The 24,603-nt window shown below is 44.2% G+C and overlaps 1 protein-coding gene and 1 long non-coding RNA gene across 3 annotated transcripts in view, besides 3 other annotated features; one reads left to right on the top strand and one right to left on the bottom strand.

Moving 5' to 3' along the window:
• LINC01820 (long intergenic non-protein coding RNA 1820) lies at positions 11,183-13,057 on the top strand. Its single transcript, NR_146999.1, has 3 exons — positions 11,183-11,332; positions 12,005-12,237; positions 12,867-13,057. It is a non-coding gene; the product is annotated as a long intergenic non-protein coding RNA 1820 (long non-coding RNA).
• Positions 11,186-11,686: an enhancer, noted in NCBI's record as "H3K4me1 hESC enhancer chr2:46620803-46621303 (GRCh37/hg19 assembly coordinates)". NCBI's record gives its function as "activates a minimal SCP1, AML or CMV promoter by ChIP-STARR-seq in naive H9 embryonic stem cells {active_cell/tissue: H9 hESC(naive)}" and the evidence as "EXISTENCE:reporter gene assay evidence [ECO:0000049][PMID:30033119]".
• Positions 11,687-12,187: an enhancer, noted in NCBI's record as "H3K4me1 hESC enhancer chr2:46620302-46620802 (GRCh37/hg19 assembly coordinates)". NCBI's record gives its function as "activates a minimal SCP1, AML or CMV promoter by ChIP-STARR-seq in naive H9 embryonic stem cells {active_cell/tissue: H9 hESC(naive)}" and the evidence as "EXISTENCE:reporter gene assay evidence [ECO:0000049][PMID:30033119]".
• The window catches only part of EPAS1 (endothelial PAS domain protein 1), an 89,291-nt gene continuing 83,340 nt past the window's right edge, over positions 18,653-24,603 (bottom strand). For both annotated transcript variants that reach the window (NM_001430.5, XM_011532698.3), the window contains exons 13-16: positions 23,628-23,754; positions 23,261-23,375; positions 22,752-22,925; positions 18,653-20,841 (exon numbers count right to left, since the gene is read on the bottom strand). In NM_001430.5, coding sequence (NP_001421.2) covers positions 20,690-20,841; positions 22,752-22,925; positions 23,261-23,375; positions 23,628-23,754 — 568 coding nt within the window. In that variant the 3' untranslated portion in view covers positions 18,653-20,689. The remainder of the gene's footprint in view (positions 20,842-22,751; positions 22,926-23,260; positions 23,376-23,627; positions 23,755-24,603) is intronic.
• Positions 20,403-20,902: an enhancer, noted in NCBI's record as "H3K27ac hESC enhancer chr2:46611587-46612086 (GRCh37/hg19 assembly coordinates)". NCBI's record gives its function as "activates a minimal SCP1, AML or CMV promoter by ChIP-STARR-seq in primed H9 embryonic stem cells {active_cell/tissue: H9 hESC(primed)}" and the evidence as "EXISTENCE:reporter gene assay evidence [ECO:0000049][PMID:30033119]".

Here is a 24,603-nt window from a genome sequence, read left to right as displayed (position 1 = left end):
CAAGGGTTAAATGCCTATATGTTGCTAAAGCTATTTGCCCTTCAGTTCTCCTTAGGCCTTGGGCCTATGATATCTCCATACTTATCCCCATTTCCTGATACTTCTTTACCTTCCTCACCTCTGCCCTCCAGGGATTGGCCTGATAGCAGTCAGAAGTCTTCCTTATTTCCAAAAAGGGTTTCTAGAGGAGAGCGGTTGCCTGGGGATAAGGATGGAAGGAGGGAGTAATTACACAAGGACATGAGGAAACATTCTGGGGTGATGGAAATGTTCTCTATCTTAATTGTGGTAATGCTTTTATAGCTGTATATGTATGTCAAAAGTGATTAATTCATACACTTTAAGTGTGTGCAGTTCATTGAATTTCAATTATACCACAATAAATTTTGAGAAAAGATTAAAAAGGTATATTTCAGTTGAGCACAAAGGATGAAAGTACACTTTCATGCTATATTCACATTTCATTAAATTACAAAAGAACATTAAAAAGAAGAGAGGGGATTGTCAATAGTCATCTCAATAGACCACCACAGTTTATCTGCACTGGGCCAGTATGTGCTATAGTAGTAACTCCTGAGCTCTGCAAGGACTGTTTTTGATTATATTCTTCACGCCCAGCCCACATCCTAGTATGTATCACTCGTGCACAAAATTGATGGATGAATAATTGATTGAGTGAATGAATGGATGTAGACATTTAAGAGAAGCGACTGGATTTGAAACCAGCTCTTGTATCCCGAGCCTACTTTGAAGCAGGAGAACTTTATCAGTAGTTGCCTCTTGTTTCTCCCACCTCCAGTCTGCCCAGGGTGCCACCGGGACCTTATGTGGTTGCCTCCTATCCCCACTGCTGTCACCTGCAGCCCTACCCCCGACTTCCCAGAAAACCTGCTTTTGCTGCGCACATCTCCTGGGGCCTTAGCTGCTATCTGATAGCTTCATCTGCACTTAGATGGGAGGGTGGTGGGGCCTGGGTGTGTTTACCTCCCAGGTAATGTGTTTTTCCATTCTGAAGGAATGCAGATCATGGGTACCTCAGTCTTTTCACCTTTGTGATGAAAAGTTGGACCCTATGGCCTCTGAAGCCCTGCCCTCTGGCATCTTATATGCTGTCACGTCTGGACTCCACTGTAAGGCTAGGGCTATGTTTCTGTTTTGATTAACAAGTTTATATTCTGACATGGTGCAAATTGCAAAGGGTACAGGGGATCATCCTCCTTCTACCCTGAGGCTCCATCCCTTAGTGCATGCCAGAGAGACCACCACTCCTGCTAGCTCCTTAAGTGCCCTTTCAGAGATGTCCTAACATATGTAAACCTAGAATGTGACTTCATGGACTTGAGCCAGATTTGGTTGACATTCATTTGTTTGTTTTAAACACTGGTATTTTCTTGTTTAAATGCACCGTGATTTATTCAGACAAGCCTTTAGATGTTTAGGCTTAAAAATGATGTGGCCATGAAAGGATGGAAATCCTTTTATTTGTATCTTTCTGCATATGTGGAAGTATAACTGTAAATATCCTAGGTAGAATTGTTGGTTGAAAGGATATATATAGCGTTTCAATTTGTGTAGATATGACCAATTTGCCTTTCAGAGATATTTACAGTTTATACTTCTAACACATATAGGGTGCCTGTCTCACTACATACTCATCAATAATATTTTATCAAAGTTTTTTTCTATTGATAAAATTTTATAGAGGTATAAAATTCACACAGAAAACCGCAGAAATTGTAAGTATTTGGCTAGATGAATTTTCCCAAAGTGAAACGTATCTATATAATCTTCTAGGTTAGAACTAGACTATTTACAGCATCCTAGAAGCCCTCCTTCTGTCCGTCTTTGTCACAACCCACCCTTTTGCCCAAAGATGACTAATATTTGACTTTTAATGGTCTAGGTTAGTTTTGCCTGTACCGTTACATGAAATTTACACAATTTGTAATCTATCGTTTCTGGTTTCTGACACAGCATATATGAAATTCATCCATGTTCTTACATGTAGCAGTAGTTTGTTCATGTTCATTGCTATAGCATATTCCATTTTATGAGTAGATCATGATTTTTGTCCACTTTTCTAGTGATGGACAGTTGGGTTCTTTTTAGTCTGGAGCCATTGGAAATAATGTTGCTAGGTATGTTCTTAAACCTGTGTTTTGCAGGTCAAATGCACTCGTTTCTCTTGGGTATACACAGGAGTAGAATAACCGGGTAAGAGAGTATGCGTACGTTCAGCTTCCCCCAGTGGTTGTGCCAATTTTCACCTCCACCAGTAATATCTGAGAGCTCCAGTTGCTTCATGGCCTCTCTGGGACTTGGTACTTACGACAATGTTTTTTCAACTTTAGCCATTCTAGTGGGTATGTAAGTGGTTTCTGATTGTGGTTTTAATTTTCATTCTCCTAATGACTCCAGAGTTTAAGCACTACTTTTATCGGCCATAAAAACTTTGTGAAGTAGCTATTTAAGTCTTGTGTTCATTTTTCTACTGGGTCACTTGTCTTTTTTGTTGTTGTTGTTGGGACTAATTTGAGAAGTTCTTTCTATATCCTGGATATGAGTCCTTTGTTAGGTGTAAATATTTCAAATATTATCTCCCATTCTGTGGATCATCTCTTCATATTCAATAAGTCTTGCCTACTGAGGTCATGAAGGCTTTCTCTTATGTTATCTTCTAGAAGTCTAATTTATTTTTCTCATTTTGATCTCTAATTGACCTGGAAATTTTATATTTAGTGTGAGGTAGGAGCCAAGAATAATTTTTTCCCATATGAATATCTTATTGACTTAGTGCATTTATTGAAAAGACTGACCTTTCCTCTTTGCTTTGCGGTGTTACCTTTGTCATGCAGTGTGTCCACATATGAGTAGGTTAATTTCTGGGCTAGTGATAGTTTTTTAATAATGATAACAATGATAGTTTTTTTCTTTTCTATTTGATCTATTCACCGATCCATACACAATACCACACTGTCAAAATTATTGTCATTTTAAAATAATGTTTTGAAATTTATTGTTATTAATTAATGAAGAGACTGGGTCTCACTATGTTGCCCAGGCCGGAGTGCAGTGGGCTGTTCACAGGTACCATAGTGCGCTACAGTCTTGAACTCCTGGACTCAAGCAGTTCTCTCACGTCAGCCTACAGAGTAGCTGGGACAACAGGGTCACACCACCAGGCCCAGCCAATAAAATAAGTTTTGATATCCAGTAGCATTATTATCCAACTTTGTTCTTTTTCAACATTGTTTTGGATACTTTTGGCTGTTAGCATTCCCACATAAATTTTAGAATAAATTTTTGACTATGAACATACATATACATATAAACTACTACTATTCTGATTGGGAATGTTCTTAATATATAGCCAAATTTGAGGAGAACTGACATCTTAGACATACTGACTTTTCCAATCCGTGAACATGGGATTTATTTTGGTATTTTATTTTTCTCCATATTTTCTAAAGTTCTGTATTTAACATTCTTGTATGTCTTTCAGATTTTTTCTTATTTTTAATTGAATTAGTACAATAAAAATGCGCATTTTTATTTTATGTGCAATCATTTTAAAATATACCTTTTCATTTATTTGTTGCTGGAGATAATTGATTTTTGTATATTATCTTTGAATTCAACAATCTTGTTAAATTCACCAATGAACCATAATAATTTATCTGAAAATCCTGTTGCATTTTCTGTATATACAGTCATGTAGACTGTAAATAATAATAGGATTTTTTTCGCTTTCTAATCTTCATACCTTTTTTTTGTTTTATTATATTGGTTAGGTTTTTTAGTACAATATTTGTAATATTGTGAAATATATATTTAGTCTTCATCCCCTTTTCCTGACAGTTCCTAAACCTTTGACATCTCCAGAGTGATGACGAGTGTCTTCTGTATGCTCAGAAGATGACAGGTGGTGGAGAGCCCTTCGATAACTTCAGGGTGGGGACTGGTTGCCAGAAAGACCAAGACATGATTAGAGGGTTAGGACTTTCAGCCCAATCCCCCCAACCTCTGGGGCTGAAGGTTCAGTTGACCACCAATGGCCAATGATTTAATCATGCCTAAGTAATATGGATACTTCATAAAAACCCAAAAGGACTGGATTCAGGGAGCTTCTGAATAGCTGAACACACTGAGGTTCTGGAGGGTGGCACTGCTGAAGAGGGCATGGAAGCTCTGCGTTCCTTCTCCCATACCTTGCCCTATGTATGTCCTTCATTTGGTTGTTCATCTATATCCTTTGTAGTATCCTTTATCATAAATGGGTAAACATAAGTAAAGTGTTTCCCTGAGTCCCGCGAGATGCTGCAGAAAATTATTGAGCCCAACGAGGGGTTTACAGGAATCCCCGATTTATTTCCAGTCCATCAGAAGTATAGGTAGAGCTTATTACTTGTGACTAGCATCTGAAGTCGGGGACAATACTGTGGGACTGAGCCCTCAACCTGTAGGATCTGATACTATCTCCAGGTAGGTAGTGTCGGAATTGTGTTGAATTATAGGACATCCAATTGGTGTCTGCTGGAAAATTGGTTGGTTGGTGTGTCAAAAGTTTTGTGTTGAGTGACTGTGAAAGTAGGGAATAGGAGAAACTGACTTTGTTTTTTTCTATCTCATTTAATGTTGAATAGAAGTGATGATAGTTGACATCCTTGTCTTGTTTCTTTCAGGGGAAAGCTTTTAGATTTCACCATTAAGTATGATGTTTTATACAAGCTTTAAAATAAATATTCTTTATAAGAGTCAGGAAGTTATTCTCTGTGCTTATGTGCTAAGAATTTATTTTAATAAAATAATGCATTTCAAATTTTATCAAATGTATTTTCTACATCTATTGAGATAGGTTTTTTCTTTATTCTGTTAATATGATAAATTATATTGATCCAATTGTTCTTTATTAAACTAAACATGTATCTCTGTAATAAACCCAGATTACTTGGAATGCATTGTCCTTTTCATGTACCACCGGATTTGATTTGATAATAGTTTCTTGAAGATATTTGAATTGAGGCTTGTGAGAGAGATTGGCCTGCAATTTTTTTAAATTGTTGTATGTCTGCCAAGCTTTGATGTCAAGGATATATTGGCCTCACTAATGAGTTCCAAGTGTTCCCTCTTTTTCTATTCTCTAAATGTATTGGAGACAGAATGATATTCCTCACACATTTGGGAGAATTTAGTGGTTATGCCATCTGGGACTGAAGTTTTCTTAGAATGTTTTATTTAAGGACTCACTTTTCAAAGTAAATGTAGAACTATTCATATTTTCTCTATTTTCTAGTGTCAGTCTTGATCAGTTTGATTTTTTTCAAGGAGTTAGTGTATTTCACCTAGTTTTTAATGGCATAAAATTGTTTCAAATATTCTTCTATAATCTTTAATTTTAATTCCTGATATTAGTAATTTGTGCCCATTCTGTCTCTTCCTGATGAATCTTGGTAGGTGTTTATCAATTTTATCAGTTTTTTCAAAGAACTAACTTTGGCTTTGTTGATTTTTCTCTATTTTGTACTTGTTTTCTATTAATAAATTATTAAGTTTTCCTCATTTATTTCTATTTTTCTGTGATGTTCAATTACTGTTTGCTTTCTAGCTGCTTGATGTAAGTACTTACAGCATTGGTTTTCATCCTTTCTTCTTTTCTAATACATCCATTTAAGGCTATAAATTTTCCTTTAAGCATGGCTTTAACTGAATCCCAGAAGCTTTGGTACACCATTTATATTAATACTCAAAATATGTCCTAATTTCCAAAGTAGTATTTTTTGATTCATGGTTATTTAGAAGTGTATTGCTTAAATTCAACACTCGGTGATTCTTAAACCTATGTTTGGTCATTTATTTCTAGTTTAATTTCATTGTGGTCAAGGAATATATGGTGAGTCATTTTAAACCTTTGAAATGTGTTATGGCTTCCTTGGCACTAGCACTATAGTCTAGCACATGGCCAATTTTCGTAAATTCCCCTATATGCATCTAAAAGAATGTTTATTCTGTATTTGGGCACAGAATATGTCAATTAGGTCTTGTTTTTAAATTGTATACTTCAGTCCCTCATATCTTTATTTTAAAATAGAGACGTAATTCACATGCCATATACACCCTTTGAAAGCGTACAATTAGTATTTTAATAAAATTGTGCAACCATTACTACTAATTCTAGAACATTTGCATCACGTCAAAGAGAAACCCTCCTTATTTATCCCTTCAGCCCTTGGCAATCACTAATTTACTAATTAAATTGAGTAATTCTGGACATTGGAGTAATTTACTAATTTACTCCTTGAATTTACTAATTCTGGACATTTCACATGAGTAGAATCATGTAATATGTGGCCTTTGTGTCTGGCACCTTTCATTTATCATAATGGTTTTGAGATTCATTCATATTGTTGCATGTATTAGTACTCCCATGACTTTATATGGCTGAATAATATTCCATTGTATGTCTACACCTCATCTTGTTTATTCATTTATCAGCTGATGGATGTTTAGGTTGTTTCTACTTTTGGGCTATTATGAATAGTGCTGCTGTAAATATTTGTATATAAGTTTTTATGTGAACATATGTTTTCAGTTCTCTTGAGTATATATCTAGGAGTGAAATTGCAGGTCATATGGCAATTCTGTTTAACTCTTTGAGGAACTGCCAGACCGTTCTCCAAAGGACTTTGCATGCCATTTTACATTTCTACTAGCAATGTATGAGTGTTTCTATTTCTCCACATCTTTAGCAACACTTTTTATTGCCCATCTTTTAAATTTTAGTCAGCATAGTGATGTGTGAAGGGGTATCTTATTGTGGTTTTAATTTGCATGTCTGTAATGACATTGAGTGTCTTTTTGATACATTTAATTGGCCATCTGTATATCTTCTTTGGAGGAATATTTGGAGGAATCTTAAATAGAGTTATTTTCCTTTCAGTTGTTGAGGTGTAAGTGTCCTTTATCCATTCTGGATATTAGTCCCTTAGCAGATATATGATTTGTAACTATTTTCTCCCTTTTATTGCTTGTCTTTTCATTTTCTTGATCCTCATTTACTTTTTTTTCTGCTTGTTCTATCAGTTACTGAGCGAGATGTGTTAAAATCTCCTGTTATGATTATAGATTTTCTAGTTTTCCTTGTGGTAGTATTAATTCCTGAGGCTTATTAGGTACATACAAATACAGAATTATGAAACCTCCCTATTGTATTGACCCTTTTATTATTATGAAAAGTCACTCTTTATTTTGGTTAATGCTTCTTCCTCAAAGTCTACCTATTTGATATTAGTATGCTACACCAGCTTTTTTGGAGGGAGTTGTGTTTGCATGGTTTCTTTTTGTCTTTTCACTGTCTCCTGTCTGTATCCTTATTTATAAGGCATATTTCCTGTAAGCAGTCTTTATATATCTTTTAACCTGGTCTGGTAATATTTGTCATTTAATGGAACTATTAATATTTAACCCCACTCATATTATTTAATTACTGATATATTTGTTTTTTTTGAGACACGGTTCTCTGTCACCCAGGCTGGAGTGCAGTGGCATGATCATGGCTCACTGCAGCCTCAACCTCTGGGTCTCAAGCTATCCTCCCACTTCAGTCTCCCGAGTAGCTGGGGCTACAGGCATGCACCACCATGCCCAGCTAATTTTTTAATTTTTTGTAGAGATAGGGTTTCCCTTGTTGCCCAGACTGGTCTCAAACTCTTGGGCTCAAGCAGTCCTCTTGCCTCAGACTCCCAAAGTGCTGGGATTAGAGGCACGAACTACAGCGCCTGGTCAATGACTGATATATTTAGATTGAAAGCTAGCATCTTACTTGGTTTGTACTTATCCAACCTCCCTGTGTTTCTTTTTCTCTCCTTTCTTGCCTTTTTCTGGAATAATCACGTTTTTTTTTTTTTTTTTTTTTTTTTGAGATTTCATTTCCCCGCTCTATTAGCTTGTCATTGTTACATTATTTTACAGTTCTAATGATCGCTCTAGTAATTACAACATGCATCCTTGATTTATTAGCATCTAATATAAATAATTACATTGACCACTTTCTTTCTTTTTCTTTTTTTTTTTTTTGGAGATGGAGTCTTGCTCTGTTGCCAGGCTGGAGTGCAGTGGTGCGATCTTGGCTCACTGCAATCTCTGACTCCCTGGTTCAAGGGATTCTCCTGCCTTGGCCTTCTGAGTAGCTGAGATTACAGGCGCGTGACACCACACCTGGCTAATTTTTTGTATTTTAGTAAAGACGGGTTTTCACCATGTTGTCCAGGATGGTCTTGATCTCCTGACCTCATGATCCGCCTGCCTCGGCCTCCCAAAGTGCTGGGATTACAGGCGTGAGCCATCGCACCCGTCCACATTGACCACTTTCTAGACAAGGCAAAGACTGAAAGCCACTTAACTCCATGTACTTCTTCTCACCTTTTGTGCCATTGTTTTCACATACGTTCATTCCACATTTATTTTAAACCCTACAATTATTAACAGTCAATATTCACTTAGATTTACTCATTTATCTACCTTTTCTTAGCTTTGTATTCCCTCCTGTGTTTTCCTTGCTCTCATCTGGCATAGTTTGAAAAAACATTTATTTAAGTATAGTTTTAGATTTACAGAAAAATTGCAAAAATCATACAAAGAATTACCATATGCCTCACACCCAGTTTTTCTCTATGATTAACATCTTAGTATAGTACATTCCCTATAATTAATGAACCAATATTGATACATCATTATTAACTAAAGCCCGTATTTTACTCACATTTCCTTAGTTTTTACCTAATGTTCTTTTCTTTATTATAGGATCCTGTTTAAGAAAGCACATTCCACCATCCTGGCTAACACGGTGGAACCCCGTCTCTACTAAAAATACAAAAAATTCGCTGAGCGTGGTGCTGGGCACCTGTAGTCCCAGCTACTCGGGAGGCCGAGGCAGGAGAATGGTTGAACCCAAGAGGTGGAGCTTGCAGTGAGCCGAGATCGTGCCACTGCACTCCAGCCTGGGCGACAGAGTGAGACTCTCTCTCAAAAAAAAAAAAAAAAAACAGAGCACATTTCATTTAATTGTCTCTTTAGGCTGCTCTTGACTGAGACAGTTGCTCAAATTTACTTGTTTTTTAAGACCAGCTCTTGTTCTATTACCCAGGCTGAAGTGCAATGGCATAAACACAGCTCACTGCAGCCTCAACTTCCTAGGTTCAAGCCATTCTCCCACCTCAGCTTCCTGAGTAGCTGGGATTACAGACATGTGCCATCATGCCTGGCTAATTTTTAAATTATTTTTGTAGAGACAGGGTCTTGCCATGTTGCCCAGGCTAGTCTTGAACTCCTGGGCTCAAGTGATCCTCCCACCTTGGCCCCACAAAGTGCTGGGATTACAGGCATGAGCCACATGCCCAGCACTTGTTTTCGATGACCTTGACAGTTTTGAGGAGTTCTAATGAGGTTTTTTTGTAGAATGTTCCTCAGTTGGGATTTGTCTGATTCTCTTTCTCATGATTAGACTGAGATTCCCTAAAGGTTTTTAGGGGGAAGAATCATAGAGGTAAAATATCATTTTTATTATATCATGTCAAGGGTACATACTATTTTTTTTTTTAATGGAGATGGGGTCTTTCTGTGTTTCCCACGCTGGATTTGAACTCCTGGGCTCAAGTGATCCTCCTGCCCCAGCCTGCCAAGTAGCTGGGACTATAGGTGTGTGCCACCATGCCCAGCAAAGGCACATACCATTAACAAGCCCTTCAAAATCTGGATCTACCTCTGAATACGGGTAAGTATGCTAATAGATCATTCCAGGAAATGACCATATGCCCCTGAGAAAGGATGAGAAAGGAGTTGTGGATCCTGTGTTTCTTTAGGGAATCTCAGTCACCCCATCCCTCTGGAGATGTGAGCATCTTGCTGTGCTGAGTATAGTTGTGTTTAAAGATGTGTTTTCTTTACAAGGTGATCTCTAGATATGAGCCAATTATTTCATCTGGTGCTCATCCAAAGAAACCACAATTGTTCTGACACCGGAGGAAAAGCTGACTGCGCTGGAGAAGTGGGGTGTTGGTTTTCAGCGTGGTCACACCTTCCTTAGGGGTTCTCGAGGGGAATTCTGACTTGTGGGGTTTTTTGCTTTCTTCCTAACTTCAGATGTAATGCCACAGTACCTCTCAAAGAGAAACAGTAGTCCATGAAGGCCATGCAGTCTAAATCTCTATTAAGGAAGAAACACATTTTAAAATTTAAATTCACCATAATTTGCACCATTTTTTCGGCTCACAGTTAAGGGGCAGTGCCAGTTCCCCTCTGGTCATCCTGGGTTGCATATGGGCCGTCTATCTTTCACAACCAAGCTTTATCTACACAGAGATGTGAGCGAAGTTTTGCAATCATAGTTTTTCTTTACCTTTTCCTGTTATCCTTAGCCCATCATGTTCTAAATAGCTTTCTCTGGTGATCAGAGTAAAGGGATTTCTCTGTTATTCTGAGCAAGTAAACACTGAAACATCAGGGAAAGGGTGAAGTTTGTTTCCGAGTGTATTTGCGTTCAGCTGGACTCTGTTTTCCTGCACCTGTAGGCCTGATTCTATCCTGTGGAGCCACCCAAAAAAGTTCTACACCTTCTGCTTTTCCAGATATTTGCAGGTGGGCTTTTGAGCTCCCCCAAACCTTATTTTCTCCAGTACAAACTTCCTCAGCTTTTCTAGTCAGTGTTTGTAACATAGTTGAGAGTCTCCTCACCATTTTAGTCATCCTTCTTTGAATTCATTCCTGTTTATTAAAACCTGGTGCCGAGAGAGGGATATAATATTATCGGGGTGGCTTCCTAGCCCATAGTATTGTGGGATTACCCATTCCTTTTTTCTCCATATTGTTCTTCTATTAATGCATTTTTAGGGTCACATTATTTCTACGATTACTTTATAGGCTAGTACTCATTTATTAATAAGTTATTTTTCAGAAATTCCCATACTCAATATCAAAGGCACTTCCTTGGCAAAGTGACTGTATTTCTCTCTGTCTCGGTTTCTTCATCTCCAAATGGCAATAATTATGATCCTATGAGCTCACAGGACTATTGTGATGAATGAATGAGATACTCTGGTCAAGCTCAGCCTAATAAATAATAAAGTCACTGTGACTGTCTCTACTTTCTGACTGTGAGTACTGCTACAAGTCCACCCCCACCTCTGCTTGTAGAAATAAAAAGTGCAGATTTATGAGAGGGGATGGGTCTACCTGGAGTGACTTGAGGAATACCCAGAAGACCCCGTCCACCTCCTCCTGCTTAGAATATGCCTTTTGCTAGCCTGCTGTGATGCCTGGAATTTCATCCTTCACCCATGTGAGTCATTATTGGACCCAGGAAGTTAAAGATCAATCAGTCTTATCCCCTGCCCCTCCCCCCCCCCCCCCCGCCACCCCCGGAGAGCTACAGATGCCACCCACAGCTGGCTCCTGGAAACTTGAGCAGAGACTGGGTCCTCTACTCTTTTTCAGAAGTTCTCCCATGAGGGTGTGAGTGGCCAGGGAGATGTCCTGAAAGGGATTCTGGGCTCGGAGTGGCTTAGAGGGCAGTTTCCCACGAATTTTCCAATTTTCTTCAGTCAGAAAGTGAGCGACCCATGACCAGTCCCATGCCCCGAGCACAGCCCAGCAGAGCTCAGAGTTGGTCCACAGCATGTAGGGGGGTGGGAATGATGACCATCGCGGCAGAGCCCACGCTGGCCAGCACAGCTGGTGCTCCACATTTTAAGCAGGAGTGGACACACGTACCCAGGATCTCCCAAACCCGTGCAGGCCAACCCACCCCGGTCTGAGTCAGCTTTCTCATCCAGACTTGAGTCTTAGTTAGAGCACTGCCTTAGCCTTTAGTGAGGCCCCCAAAATGATGTCAATGTTCACGCTCAGCTGCCCTCGCCTCAACCAGGCTAATGAGGATGGGGAAAAAGTTCTTTGTTTTAGGCCAAATGGGTCTTCTCTAACTGCAGCTGTTTTCTTTTTTTGTTCCTACAAGTGCTGGGCCCACCCACATAGTTTAAAGCCAAGATCAGGACAGAGATGGAGGGAGCTGTCCCCTGGCCACCCTGATACCTGCTGTTGGAAATCAACAAACAAACACAAACCCACTTTGCGTTCTGTGAGTGTGCATGTATGTTGGTCCCTAGGTGCTGCAGGACAAGAGGAGGGCCAGAAAGCTCTGCCCATGCCTGGGGAGCATGCTGGATCTCCCTTCCAGCTACAGAAGAGGTCAGCACCCTGCCCCCGCTGGCGGTCTTGCTCGAACCTCTGAGAGACCTCTTGGCAACATGCTGTCCCTCCTAATTGTCTTCCTCGGTCACCACTGCAGACCAAGCCTTCCAGGTCATCAGTCACCACGTGGCCCTTGTCCTGGGAGAGTTCTGCACATCCGCTTCCCTTCACCCCTCCTCACCTCCAGACCCTTCCACTGCATTATCGAGAACTCTGTCTCCTAGAGCCTCCCCTCCTCTGAAGGGGCCTTTACCTTCTTTCACTGAAGCCTGGCTGTCCTCAAGCTCCCTGCTCCTTGCAGCCACTCAGGTTGAGGCTGGTTTCTGTCGCCTACAGGCAGGTGTCAGGCAGGGCCTGGACGTAGAGGGGTTACTCATTTCTCCCTCTCAGTCCTCAGACTCTTTTTTTCTTCCCCCAGTGACTTCAGTCCCCAGCTCCTCTCTCCATCCACCTTTACTTTCACGGACGCTGACACCCACCTGGACCACTCTGACAACATCCTGGCTCCCCAACTTCATCAGACCCTTGCCTTCTTTGATTTCAGCCACCTCTGAGATCTGAAAATTTGCTTTTATTTAAAAAATGTCTTAAGTTTACATATGTAAAATTCTTTTTCTGATGTACAGGTCTATGGTTTCTTAGACACGCGTGGATTCTCACAGCCACCACCACAGACAGTACAAGCAACAGTTCCAATACTCCAGAGAACGCCCTCATCTCTCCTCACCCCTGCCTTCTGGCAAGCAATGAGCTGTTCTCTGTTCCTGTATTTTTGCCTTTTCTAGAATGCCATATAAATGGAATTATATAGAATGTGCCCTTTTGGTACTGGCCTCTTTTGTTCAAAAGAATAATACCTTTGAGATTCATCCATGCTGTTGTTTGAATCAAGCATGTTAACTTTTATTGCTGAGTAGTAGTCCATTGTGTAGATATATTACAGTTTTTTAAAAATCTACCCCTGTCGAAGGACATTTGGGTTGTTTTCAGTTCTTGGTGAGGATGAACATTTGTGTGCAGATTTTGTGTGGACTTAAAATCTTGACTTCTTTAAAATACCTAGAAGTGGTCATTGCTGGGTCCTATGTATGTGAGATCTCAACTGTAAGTTTCCTCTCCTCTGACAACTGTGCCCCATCCACATGGTTCCTTTCTCTAACATATCACACTGACCACTGTGACCTCACTAAGACCTCCAATTCACTGAGCCTGCCATTTTTTTCATTGATCATGAACCTATTCATTTTTTCTTTCCTTCTCACACAACTTAGTGATCCATCGTAATAGTCATCCTACTGGAAACTTTCCTCACTCCCTTAAACATACCGTCCTGGCTGAACCACAACCTGGTAAACTCAACTACCCACCCATTCAGTCTCCATTAGAGTAGAACAGTGTGGCTAGAAGAAAACACAATTGTGCCATGGGCCAGTTCATGACCATAAATCTCACCTGAGCTTCTGATACTGATCATCGATCAGTCTGACCTTCTAGTGACTATTTCATACTTGTATCTCTTCAAACCTCTGACAGCCTCATATATCACTGGGGAAATAGCGATCAGACTAGAGATTGCTTATTATCCTCCCACCACCAATTCCACCTGACGGACTAAGGCTTTACTCTCTTCTCTGCCTTCCCCCTTTTAAAACGATGAACTGTCCATGCTTCTGTCTGAAGCCAGCCCCTCGATGGTGCAGTGGATTCCATCCGTGCCCATCCCACCTTTTCAATCATTTTACTTCTGCAATTATCCCCCCCTTTCCTGTCTTCATCAACTTTCTGCCATCACCGTATATACGTTTCCTAATGTAGCTCATCTTCAAAAATGATGTCCCTCCTGGCTCCCCAAAACCAGTAACTTTACAGTGGAGAGACCTGACAAAACACCTCAGCCAGGTGATCAAGGCAACGAGTCATGACGGCGGAATGTACCCTTGCTGTGATGTGAGGAGGTGATAATGGCACTGTACCTCTTTGGTCTTCCTTTCCAAAACCCACAACCTCTGTCCAACCAGAAAAACACCAGACAAATCCAAATGGAAGGATGTTCTACAAAATACTTAACTAGCACTCCTCAGAATTGTCAAGGCCGTCAAAAGTGGGGAAAACCTAAGAGAAGCCTAAGGAGACGTGACAAGTAAATGTAATGTGGTATCCTGAATAGGACCTTAGAACAGAAAAAGAAAGATATTAAGTAACACTAAAAACTGGAATAAAGTACAGGCTTTAGATAATAAGGTACCAATACTGGTTCATTAATTGTGACTTATGTACCATAGTAATGTTAACAATAGAGGAGGCCAGGCACGGTGGCTCACGTCTATATTCCTACCGCTTTGGGAGGCCGAGGCAGGAGGATCACTTGAGCCCACGAGTTTGAGACCAGCCTGGGCAACATAGGGAAACCCCGTCTCTATTCTAAAAATAAAATAAAATAATAGAGGAAACTGAGTGCAGGGAACTCTTATAATGGTCTCACAGCCTTTCTGTAAACCTAAAACTATTCTAAGATAAAAGTCGATTAAATATGAAACCACACACACACACACATACACACACACACACATATACACTCCCACACACTCCCCTGACCCATGTCATCCTCTTGCTCCACTCCATTTCCCTGCTTTCCTGCACAGGGAACCTTCCCAAACGAGTTGTATATTGCTACGGTCTCTGTTTCCCCACTCCAGCCAGCTCATTCCTCAGTCTACTCCAATCTGCTGTCCTTAGCTCCCCACCAAACCTGCTCTTGTTAAGGTTGATGGTGAGCTCCATGTTGGCAAATCCGAGTCAATTTTTTTCCCCTTCCCTTACCTTTCAGTCTAGTGTGTGTGTAATGCAGTTCACTATGCCCTACTTCCCGCAGCACCCTTATCACTTGGCTTTTGAGATACTATACCCCTGGATTTCTTTCTGCTCCTTGGGTGCTCCTGCTCAGTCTGGCTTCTACCAGTGGCCTAGGTTCTGTCTCCCGACCTCTGTTCTTTGCACTTCTATCTCAGAGGCATATTTCATCCCAGCTCATGGAGTTAAGTACAATTTACCTACTGCACATACCCAAATTTGTATCTCCAGCTTTAAACCCTATGAGGTAGGGACTGCTGTCACCACCATTCTACAGAACAGCAGACTTAGGCTATCAGATGTTTAAGGGGCTTCCTTGAGGTTACACAGCAGGAAGCAGCAGGGCTGGGATTTGAACCTAGGTCCGTCTGACTCTAGGTCTGTGTTGTGAGTTGCCAGGCTGCCCGGCCGCCCCCTCCTTCCCAGCTCCCGTCCTGCCTGCCCCCCAGGGCCTCTTGCATGTATTGCTCATTCTGGCCTCAGGCCTTTGTCTCCCTGGTCCACTTCTCCTGGAATGACCTCTTTTCCCGCTGCCTGTCTAATCCTCTTCCATCCCAGCTCTGGTGGGAGATTCTTCACTCCTAAGACCCAGGCTGATCTCTGCTGGCCTCCTCTGGACATTTGCAGGAGTTGAAGTCCACCCTAAAACAACCAAGGGCTCATTTGCATCAATAGTTATCATGCTTTCTGAACCCGCGATGGGACCCTTGGCCCAAGTACAGCTGCACCCGCGGGGACGCGGAAGCACGTGATCTAATGCTTGGACTGGCTGGGAAAACTGGGCCATGGGCCTCCATCATCCCACACCATCTCAGACAGGGTCTCAGTCATCCAGGCGGGCTTTGTTTGGTTCCCCTACTAGCTGGGAAGCTTCTAGAAGGAAGGATCATGATTGCCGAAGAAGTATCATTTTTAAACACTGTGTATTAGGTGGGGCTGGGGAAGTACTTCAAAATCCTTTTCTCCTGGGTCCTGGGGGACCAAGAAAAGTTCAGTCTAGTAGTGAAAGAATTGATTTAGACTTCATTTGAGGTCACAGAGAGGCCAAGCAGTTCCCACAGGGGTCGCTGAGCTCAGAGGAATGTTTGGAAGAAATGGGGGTGACAGGATCATTTTTGGAAGAACTGAGAGTGCCGGAGGGAAGTGAGGAGCAGGAGGCTGGAAGGAAGATTTGGGAAGGGCCATGTGGGAGGCCCAGTGCTGGCTGAGACAGTGAGCGGTGACCTCTGGGGCAGAGAACACAGCCCTTTCACTTACGTGAGTTCAGCCCCAGTTCCCATGATGCTGGCCTGGGCTCTGGCCCCCACCCTGCCACTAACTCCCTGTGTGACTGTAGGCAAGTCGCTTTGTTTTCCTGGGCATCAGTTTCCTCATCTCTAAAATGAGGAGGTTGAAAAAAAGAAGTGATGGGGTTGGGCGACATTGTTTCTCAGCCCCTCTCAGCATCTGAGATAACATCCTGTGCTGTCTTACCCAGGGCCACTACCTCAGGGAAGGAAGAGCCGGGTTAACCTGACTGTTCTTCTGCAGGCCTCCTGGTAAAAGTTTCTTTTTCACAAAAAAGCAGTCTCTTTTGTGCGGGATCCAGGAGAGGAAGGATGTTAAGTGGTTGAATCTTGCATGTTGTAAAAGAAATGAATCTGCATTTCCGTGATCTCCAGAAAAAAAACAGTTCATTCACTCTCCACCCCCATCTGAACATGGGCATCAAAGCCCATGCTGCGGAATGGGATCAGTTTTGCCCTGCATGATCAGAAGGGGCAGGGTTGGCCCTTCTCTACTAGGTAGGGCCTTCTGAGGTTCCAGCCTTGGGTCAGAGTCCCTCTCCCAGAGAGATTCCTCATCCATAAGCCAGCCAACCAAGACAAGTGCTGAGATGTTGTCACAGCCCACCAGGGTTTGCTTGCCTAGAGGGGAATATATCTAGCATCAGGAGGACCCCCAATGGCTGAACGATTGCTGATTCTGCTCGGGCCCCTACCTTGGTCCTTGCACATCTGGTCACACAGGCATGTACCTACTCCTGAGTCACCTACATTTTGAAAATACAAAATCGGGAGCATTTAAGTCAGTCTTCACTGGATTGCTTGAGGCAAAACATGAAGCAGTGATGGCTTGTGTGGGTCTTGTGTCTTGTGCTTGGAGGCTGAGCTCCTCTGACCCATCAGGAACAATGGCTTCGTTGTGTTCCTGGCTTGCTCTGGCTTGCTCGCTGGACTTGGAAGCAAGAGGAGCTTTGAGCTGCCCAGCACCCCCAGGAGCAGGAGGGTATAATCATGGCCCAAGGACAGCACTGTGGACCCCATGGGACCCTGCAGTTGTTAGGGGGCTGGGATGGATAGCACCTTTCCAGGCCTGGATCCTGAATTAGCCAGTGCTTAGAGGCAACTCTGCTCCTGAAGGATGGGCTGAGATGTGTCAGTCACAGAAAAGCTTCAGAAAAGAACAGGTGATGTTTTCAGGAAGTCCAAGATGGCAGGCAAAGGTGGGTAGGAACCTGGCAGAGCCCAGAAACTCCAATCTGAAGGTCCAGGCCCCAAGATTTGGAAGAGAAGAGTAAGCAAAAGAACCAGAAGGAGGTCTAAAGGCTAAAGTAATAAAGACATGAATTTTCTATTTAGAAATGAGAACAGGGTCCTGTCATAAAATCAGCCTCCCAGCCATCAGTCTAAGGTGTAAGAGGAGAGACGCACTGGCCAGGAAGGGGTTTCAGTTTCATTTCTCCCATCAACAAGCTGTGACTTGCTTAAGTCATAAGATCCTCAGTTTCAGCTGTAGAATGGGTGCCCATGGCATTGCTTAGACCTAGGATCCAGTGAGCTAACAAGCTAACAAACATGTGAGACCATACTATATGGACCAAATGCTTAGGCAAAGTACATGCTGCTGGAATGGCTGGTTCTAGGGTAGACAGTGAGAGCGCAGGCTGCTGCACGGTCTCTCCCCTTGCCCCCATCTCTCCATGGAGACAAAGGTCTGCTCACAAGCAGGTCATGATCTGGAAAAGTGAAATTTGAATTGGGGAACATATCATGCTCATGTCCAGTTCTGGGCTTTCACTGTGCTCTGTCTCTGGCCGAGGGGATCTCTGCTCTTCCCAATCACAGTCTACCTGGGAAGACCCTACTCCAGCCCAGCCGCCTCCAAATTGAAGTCCTAATGCCCAGGCTGCCCCTTTCCCTTCGGGACCTCCATCCCAAAGTGCACTATGTGAATATACAGAACAGTGTGGCTCTCAAACGACTTCATGTAATTTTCTGAAAGCAGAGACCATGACTTCTTTCCTTGGGTTCCCCATAGGATACAAAAAATGGCCCCGAGGCACATAGATAGATAGATAGAAAAATACTTGCAGAAATATGGAAGATACAATATGAATTTTCAGACTTAGGCAACTACCAAGTATTTAACACAGTCTTTCCTTCACCAGTCTTATCAGCTCACTTCAGTAGTCTCATAAAGGTCTGTGCTAATGTTCAATTTATATGAACGACTTAATACTTCACTTTACATTGGCATAGCCCATGATAAATCCACAGGAAATAAGAGCCACCAGCAGTGGTAGGATCAGAATACTTTAATAAGATACCAGTGTCAAAATACATTTCCTTATAAAGTTAAGCTCCCATACAGTTATAATGTTGTCAGTAGGAATTCGACAATATAATAACGTTCATGAAATCGTTACGTTGACAGGTAGGGTTAATATGAAGCTTGGAATATTTTTCAGTGTTTTAGTAAAACTGCAAGGGTAAAATGCCCTTAATGCCAGGGCAACACACACAGGAAATCAAATACCAGCATTTACACGTCAGTAACCCTTCAAGTTCTGCCACCCTGTGTGGGGTAATGCCGTGCAGCTAAAATATGATTTACGCAACACCATGACTAAGGAATTTCTCATAGAACTTAAATTTCTTTTGAAAGCTATTTTTTGTTTTTGGCAATAAGTCTATCCGGGCTTACTAAATAGTTGGCCCAATGTGCTTTGTGTGTGTTTTTAGAAACTTCTTCATTGTACCCATTACAGAAAAGTTCCATGTAATTGGTATTGAAAAACCAGAGGTGTCGTCCCTCTTACCCAGGGAGTTGCAAAGTGCTCTGGGAACACTATTTTCAGTGCTTCCTACCTACATGTCACTGACCGACCCAGAGACCTCAGCCAGGGCCTGTGGCTAGGGGCCATCCCTGGAGGCCTTGCGGGGCCATCTGGCTGCCGGCTGAGTGGGGGCTGCAGGGCTGGTCTGGACCAGCTGCTCTCCCGCTGTGCAGCCTCCTCCTCAGTCCAGCTCCACGGGGCTCCAAGGTCGTGAGCTTGGAGGACGTGGACGGGGTCACTATACCATTTTTGACCCCTCATTTGCATGAATTCCCGTCTAAACCATCTCATGGTAGTTCTGGAAATGTCCAAATGTGCCGTGTGAAAGACCATCCGAGTCACATAGCTCAGTGCACTTGAAGGGCTAGCAACAAAACCTTAAGAAAAGTTAGAGCACTTCCCCGCCCCACCCCCCGACCCCACAACGTGCCATCAGACCCTCTTGGCAGCAATAATAATAATACATACATACATAGTACATAGAGAATGTGAGGGGATAGCGCGCAGTGCTCCCGCTGAATGACTCCACTGCTCGGATTGTCACACCTATGGCATATCACAGATGGCAAAAAGCCGACAGAGGGAGGCCTTCCACAGTGTCCGTACAGGCCGTGGGAGCACTGGACAAGTCTGCAGTGTCCACAACACTAAGAAAAATTAACAGCTTCGAAAAGATCTTAAAGTGATTTTGTGAGCAGGATTCCATTTCCGTTTCTAAGTTTTTAGATATTACAAAGTACCCATATATATGATAAACACTTAACCCAGATATAAATTTTCTCCTCTTTTAAAAAACTCAGTTATGTTTTTGAATAATAATAAAAAATCCACCAAATGCGGGGGAAAAACACCAGTTTAGGAAAAGCCACGCTGTGCAACTTTCACAGATAACCACATACGTTGGAGTTGACCCTTCACATTTCTTTTTTTCCAAAATTAGAGCAAAGAGTCAGCTTAAACAAAAAAAAAAAAACCCTGAAATTTACAATATGGTGATTAGTTTAAAAAAGAAACGAGAAGGGCTCTGCGAGGGAGACGCCACAAACCAAGCTTGGAAAGCAAAATCATTTTTGTTTCTCTTTGGCAACAACAATAACGAGGAATCTTTTTAGTAAAATGAAGCTAAAGCTTCTCCCTACAGAAGAACAGACATGCACCAAACTTGTTAGTATGGACAGTTGTGTGTGAGAAGGAGAAGGAGGGAGAGAAACCTATGGATAATATAAATTAGAAGTCATTGAAGGTGGGGAGGAAAAAAATCCTACAAAATTTAAGAACATTTCAGAACAGGTAAAACAATTGTGTACTTTAAAAATAGGGATAATAAAGTGAGCATCTCAGAAAAAGGCCACTGCTTGGTGACCTGGGCAAGTCTGCCAGGTAAGTCCATCTTGTAAATAGTGTGCTGGCGTTAGAAATACCTAGTTGCAAAAACAGACGGAGAGAGTGAAGCTGGTGGGACGGCGTCGGCAGAGGTGCTGCCCAGGTAGAAGGCCTGGCTCAGGTGGCCTGGTCCAGGGCTCTGAGGAGGTCCCCTCCTTGCAGGAGCGTGGAGCTTCCCAGCACGGGCACGTTCACCTCACAGTCATATCTGGTCAGTTCGGGCAGCAGGTAGGACTCAAATGAGGGCCCGAGCAGCCGGCTTGCCATGCCTGAAAGAAGGGTTGGTACCATAACTTAAAGGCCTAAATCGAACATTTGGAAAAGTGTCTACTTCTTTGTGACTGGGGGATACCAATAGAGCAGCCCTAATTTCACTCTGCTCCTTCAGTGGTGTCTGTCCCACGGCCTGCTGCATGCCCGGGGAACGTGTCTGCCTCCAGAACCACTGCCTCAGGTGGGGTGCTGAGACCCAAGAAAGAGGAAAGCGTGAGGTGCGGGCTGCAGCACAGGTATGTGGAAGCTTCAGGAAGAGCCTGGGGTTGCTGACCCCCATGCCTCCTGGCAGCAGGGAGGAAAGGCTGAACCACCTGGCACCTATGCTCACATACACAGAACATGCAGAACACACACATACATACAGATGCAAACACAGACTGCCTCAAGATTCAACAGTCTGAAAATCCAGTTTCTGGTCACCACCCTCAGCAGTCCTTTCTTCTTGCCTCTGTGCTATTCTCTTGCCGAGGAGGCAGACCAGGGAGTGGCAGGGGGGACACTCGCAGCACACACACAGGCCCCCATCCCAAGGAGGAAAGGCTTAGGTGGCAGCAGAGAGCCTGGAAGCCCTGCATTCTGCCCCTCCGATGGGAGATGCCCACCCACCTTCCCTTATCTGCAGAGCCTCGTTCCAGTGGCCATTGCCTCCTGCACCTCCTAGCTCAGATCCTTGCTGGGGTCCATGCCTGCCTCCCCAGCTTGACTGCTCCTGTGGACAGTATCAATGGATACCTGCTCACCATCCCTTGCTAACTTCTCTTATTCATGGTCAGAAAAGAGTTTGATATGATTCAACTCTTTTGAAAAGAATATGATTTTCCCTTGATTTCAATATTCAAGGTAATTCGTGGGCTTCACATAACAGGAAGAATAGTGCTGGCTACCTCTTACTGCACATAAATATATACCAGCCCCTGAACTCAACAGCAGAGCCAGAATTTAAGCCAGGGCTGTCTGGTGTTTCTACAGCCTGGACTCTGAAGCACAGAACTATAACCTTCCCCAAACTCTATTGCTGAGGAAATTGCCTTTTAGAACAGGGGCCTGGTATGTTTTTCCATAAACCACGAATTATTTTCAGGCCAAACAAACCTCATGAAGACATATATGTTTCACAAGATACTGTCAAGATGAAGGTGGCCCAGGGTTGAAGGCAGGCATTGGTGCCTGCAGTTGAACCAAGTCCAGTGGGGTGGGCCTACCAGAGCTTTCCAGGCTGTTCTACCTGAAGGAAGTTTTGGCATGTTCTCAGCACCTGCCTGAACTCAGAGTGACACCCCAAAACACATCCACATGAAGAACTGAGGAAGGGGCAAGGCTCCGGGATTCTCAGGGTGGAAAGAGCCCTGGATGGCACCTGATCATGGGAGGGTTCTCCCTAAAGCCCCAGGGAAGGAGCACTCCCTTCTCCACGCAGCAAGCTCATCCTTGCATAGACGGGAGATCCCCTGCCTCTGCCCAGACCGCTTCCCAACTCTCTCTCTCTGAACTTTCTCTTCTCTTCTTCAACAGGCCCTCACCACTGTGGCCGCCTGCTCTTTCTTCTGAAAGTGCTCCTGTCAACAGTGGTACAGTGTTCTGGGGGTCGCCAACCCAGTGTTCAGTGTTCAGTCCTCTTTGGGCAGTCGGTAGTGGTCTGCATTCTTTCCTTCAGTATTCTAGCCTGAGTTTGAGTTTTTTAGCTGTGTCTCAGACCCACCCACTGGGGGGCCTGATCACTGATGTCACAAGGAACTTGTGAGGAGGTTCCCTAAATCCAAGGAGACCTGAGCCCTGTATAGGTGACTTCAAGTCAAGCACCTCCCTGTGCCTGGCACTGTGCAGACGCTGGAAAAAAAGTAGACGTGGGCTTCCCCTGGCATCGAATCCTGGGATGGGGGTGACAGATCCTGGGCACACCCACCTGACACCTTGTGGGCTGACGACAGGCTGTAGTCCTGGTACTGGGTGGCGTAGCACTGTGGGGGGAACCTGCTCTTGCTGTTCTCCCCGGGACTGATGGCAGATGGAGGCTGTGGCAGCGGCAGATGTCTCAGGGGATGGCCCAGGCCCCTCATGGGGTTTTGGGTGAACTTATCTGAAAGACCAAAGTCAGAGAGTGACGGTAGCATTGGCCTGAGGGAGGGGAGAGGCCAGGAAGCCCTAGCATCCCTTTCCTTTATAAAAGGTGCTCAGAGTCACCAGAACTACAGCCAACCTTCAGGACCCTCTGATGGCATCATCTAAGTCAGAGTGGAGATGGAAAAGTTGGGTGTGTGGGACTGCGGGAGAGACAGAGGACATCGCCCCATTCTAACAAGGCTCAGAGAGGCAGGTACGGCCTGTGGTGAATGGAAGAACCAGGATGGGCTCCCGAGCCCCAGTCCTTCCACCAGAACCCCCAGGAGGCCCAGGCCTGTGGCCGCTGCTCACCATTGGGTACATTTGCGCTCAGTGGCTTGTCCGGCATCAAAGGGCAGCTCCCACCCCTGAGGTTCTTCATCCGTTTCCACATCAAATGTGAGGTGCTGCCACCAGGTGGGTCCCCCTGGGAGTAAGAAGGGCAGATGGAAAGGGGAAATGGCCAGAGAACCAGGTCCCCAGACTGGGTGGGTTGGGTGGGCCTGGAACAGGGCTGGCACTTGCTGGCTTGGAAGGGCCACATCCCCACCCCTCTCAGCAGCCCTGGGTTCCCTAAGGGCTATGCTGGCTTGGAAGGGCCACATCCCCACCCCTCTCAGCAGCCCTGGGTTCCCTAAGGGCTATGGAGAGGCCCCTGTGGCCAGTGGGGATGACTCACCCCGCTCAGGTCCTGGAAGGCTTGCTCTTCATACTCCAGCTGTCGCTTCAGCTTCAGCTTGTTGGAGAGGGCTACCATGGCCGGACTCAGCACGTCTGGGCCTCGAGCCCCAAAACCCTTTGCAGACCTGCCAAGCCCGAGAGAGCAGGCTATGAGGGAGTCTGGAGCCACATGCCACTCAGTGCCTTCTCATCTTAGGGGCCCTTCCAGTCCCAATGCTGATGCCTGTGATGACTCAAAGACCCAAAAGGCAGAGTCTCAGAGGCAGGCTGTGCACCTGCAGGCCGAGCTCGAGCTCTGTCTCCTTCCTCAGCTATAAGATGCTGAAGGGCTCAAGCCTCCTGGTCTGGGGGATGGCTGCCTGGCTGGGCAATGTTAGTCCTTAGGAGGGTTTCTTCTGCCCATGTCTCTCCTCTGCCTTTTGCTCCCACTGAAAACTAGTTTGGCTGCTCTATAAAGGGCAAGTACCAGCGGCCCCTGGGAGTGGCAGGTCATGTACCAACCCCTGTGCCTTAGCCCAGTGAGCTCGCAGCTGGTGAAATGAGCATGCTGGGGAGATGGGAAGGCATTTCTGGAGCCTAGGCACAGCTGGGAGAGGCTGCAGTGGCGAGGACCCGGGGGCAGCCAAAAGGCAAGGGGAGGCAGGGGTATCTTTTTGCTGTTTTCAACCAGGGAAAATCATCACTCAATTTTCTGTGTGGCTCAGATGATGAACCGAGATACGAAAGGCACTCTGGTGGTGGTCCGAAGGGAGACACTGAGGTACAGGGCTCTCAACAAGCCACTTCTTTGCCTGCCCTCAGTGGCAGCCCAGATAAAAACCCATCCTACACTAGGCCTCACATGGCTTGAGGTGATTCCCCAAAGTCTGAGCTCAGAGAAGGGCTAAATGGGGTATCAGATGGCTGGGGAGAGGGGCAGGGGCCTCCCTGGGGGTCCAGCTATCTTACTAGTGGGTGCCTCTCGGTTCGGCCCT

Source organism: Homo sapiens, chromosome 2 (genome assembly GCF_000001405.40).
Source record: "Homo sapiens chromosome 2, GRCh38.p14 Primary Assembly".
In the NCBI taxonomy this organism is placed as follows: domain Eukaryota; kingdom Metazoa; phylum Chordata; class Mammalia; order Primates; family Hominidae; genus Homo; species Homo sapiens.
This window is presented reverse-complemented; position numbering and strand designations above follow the sequence as displayed.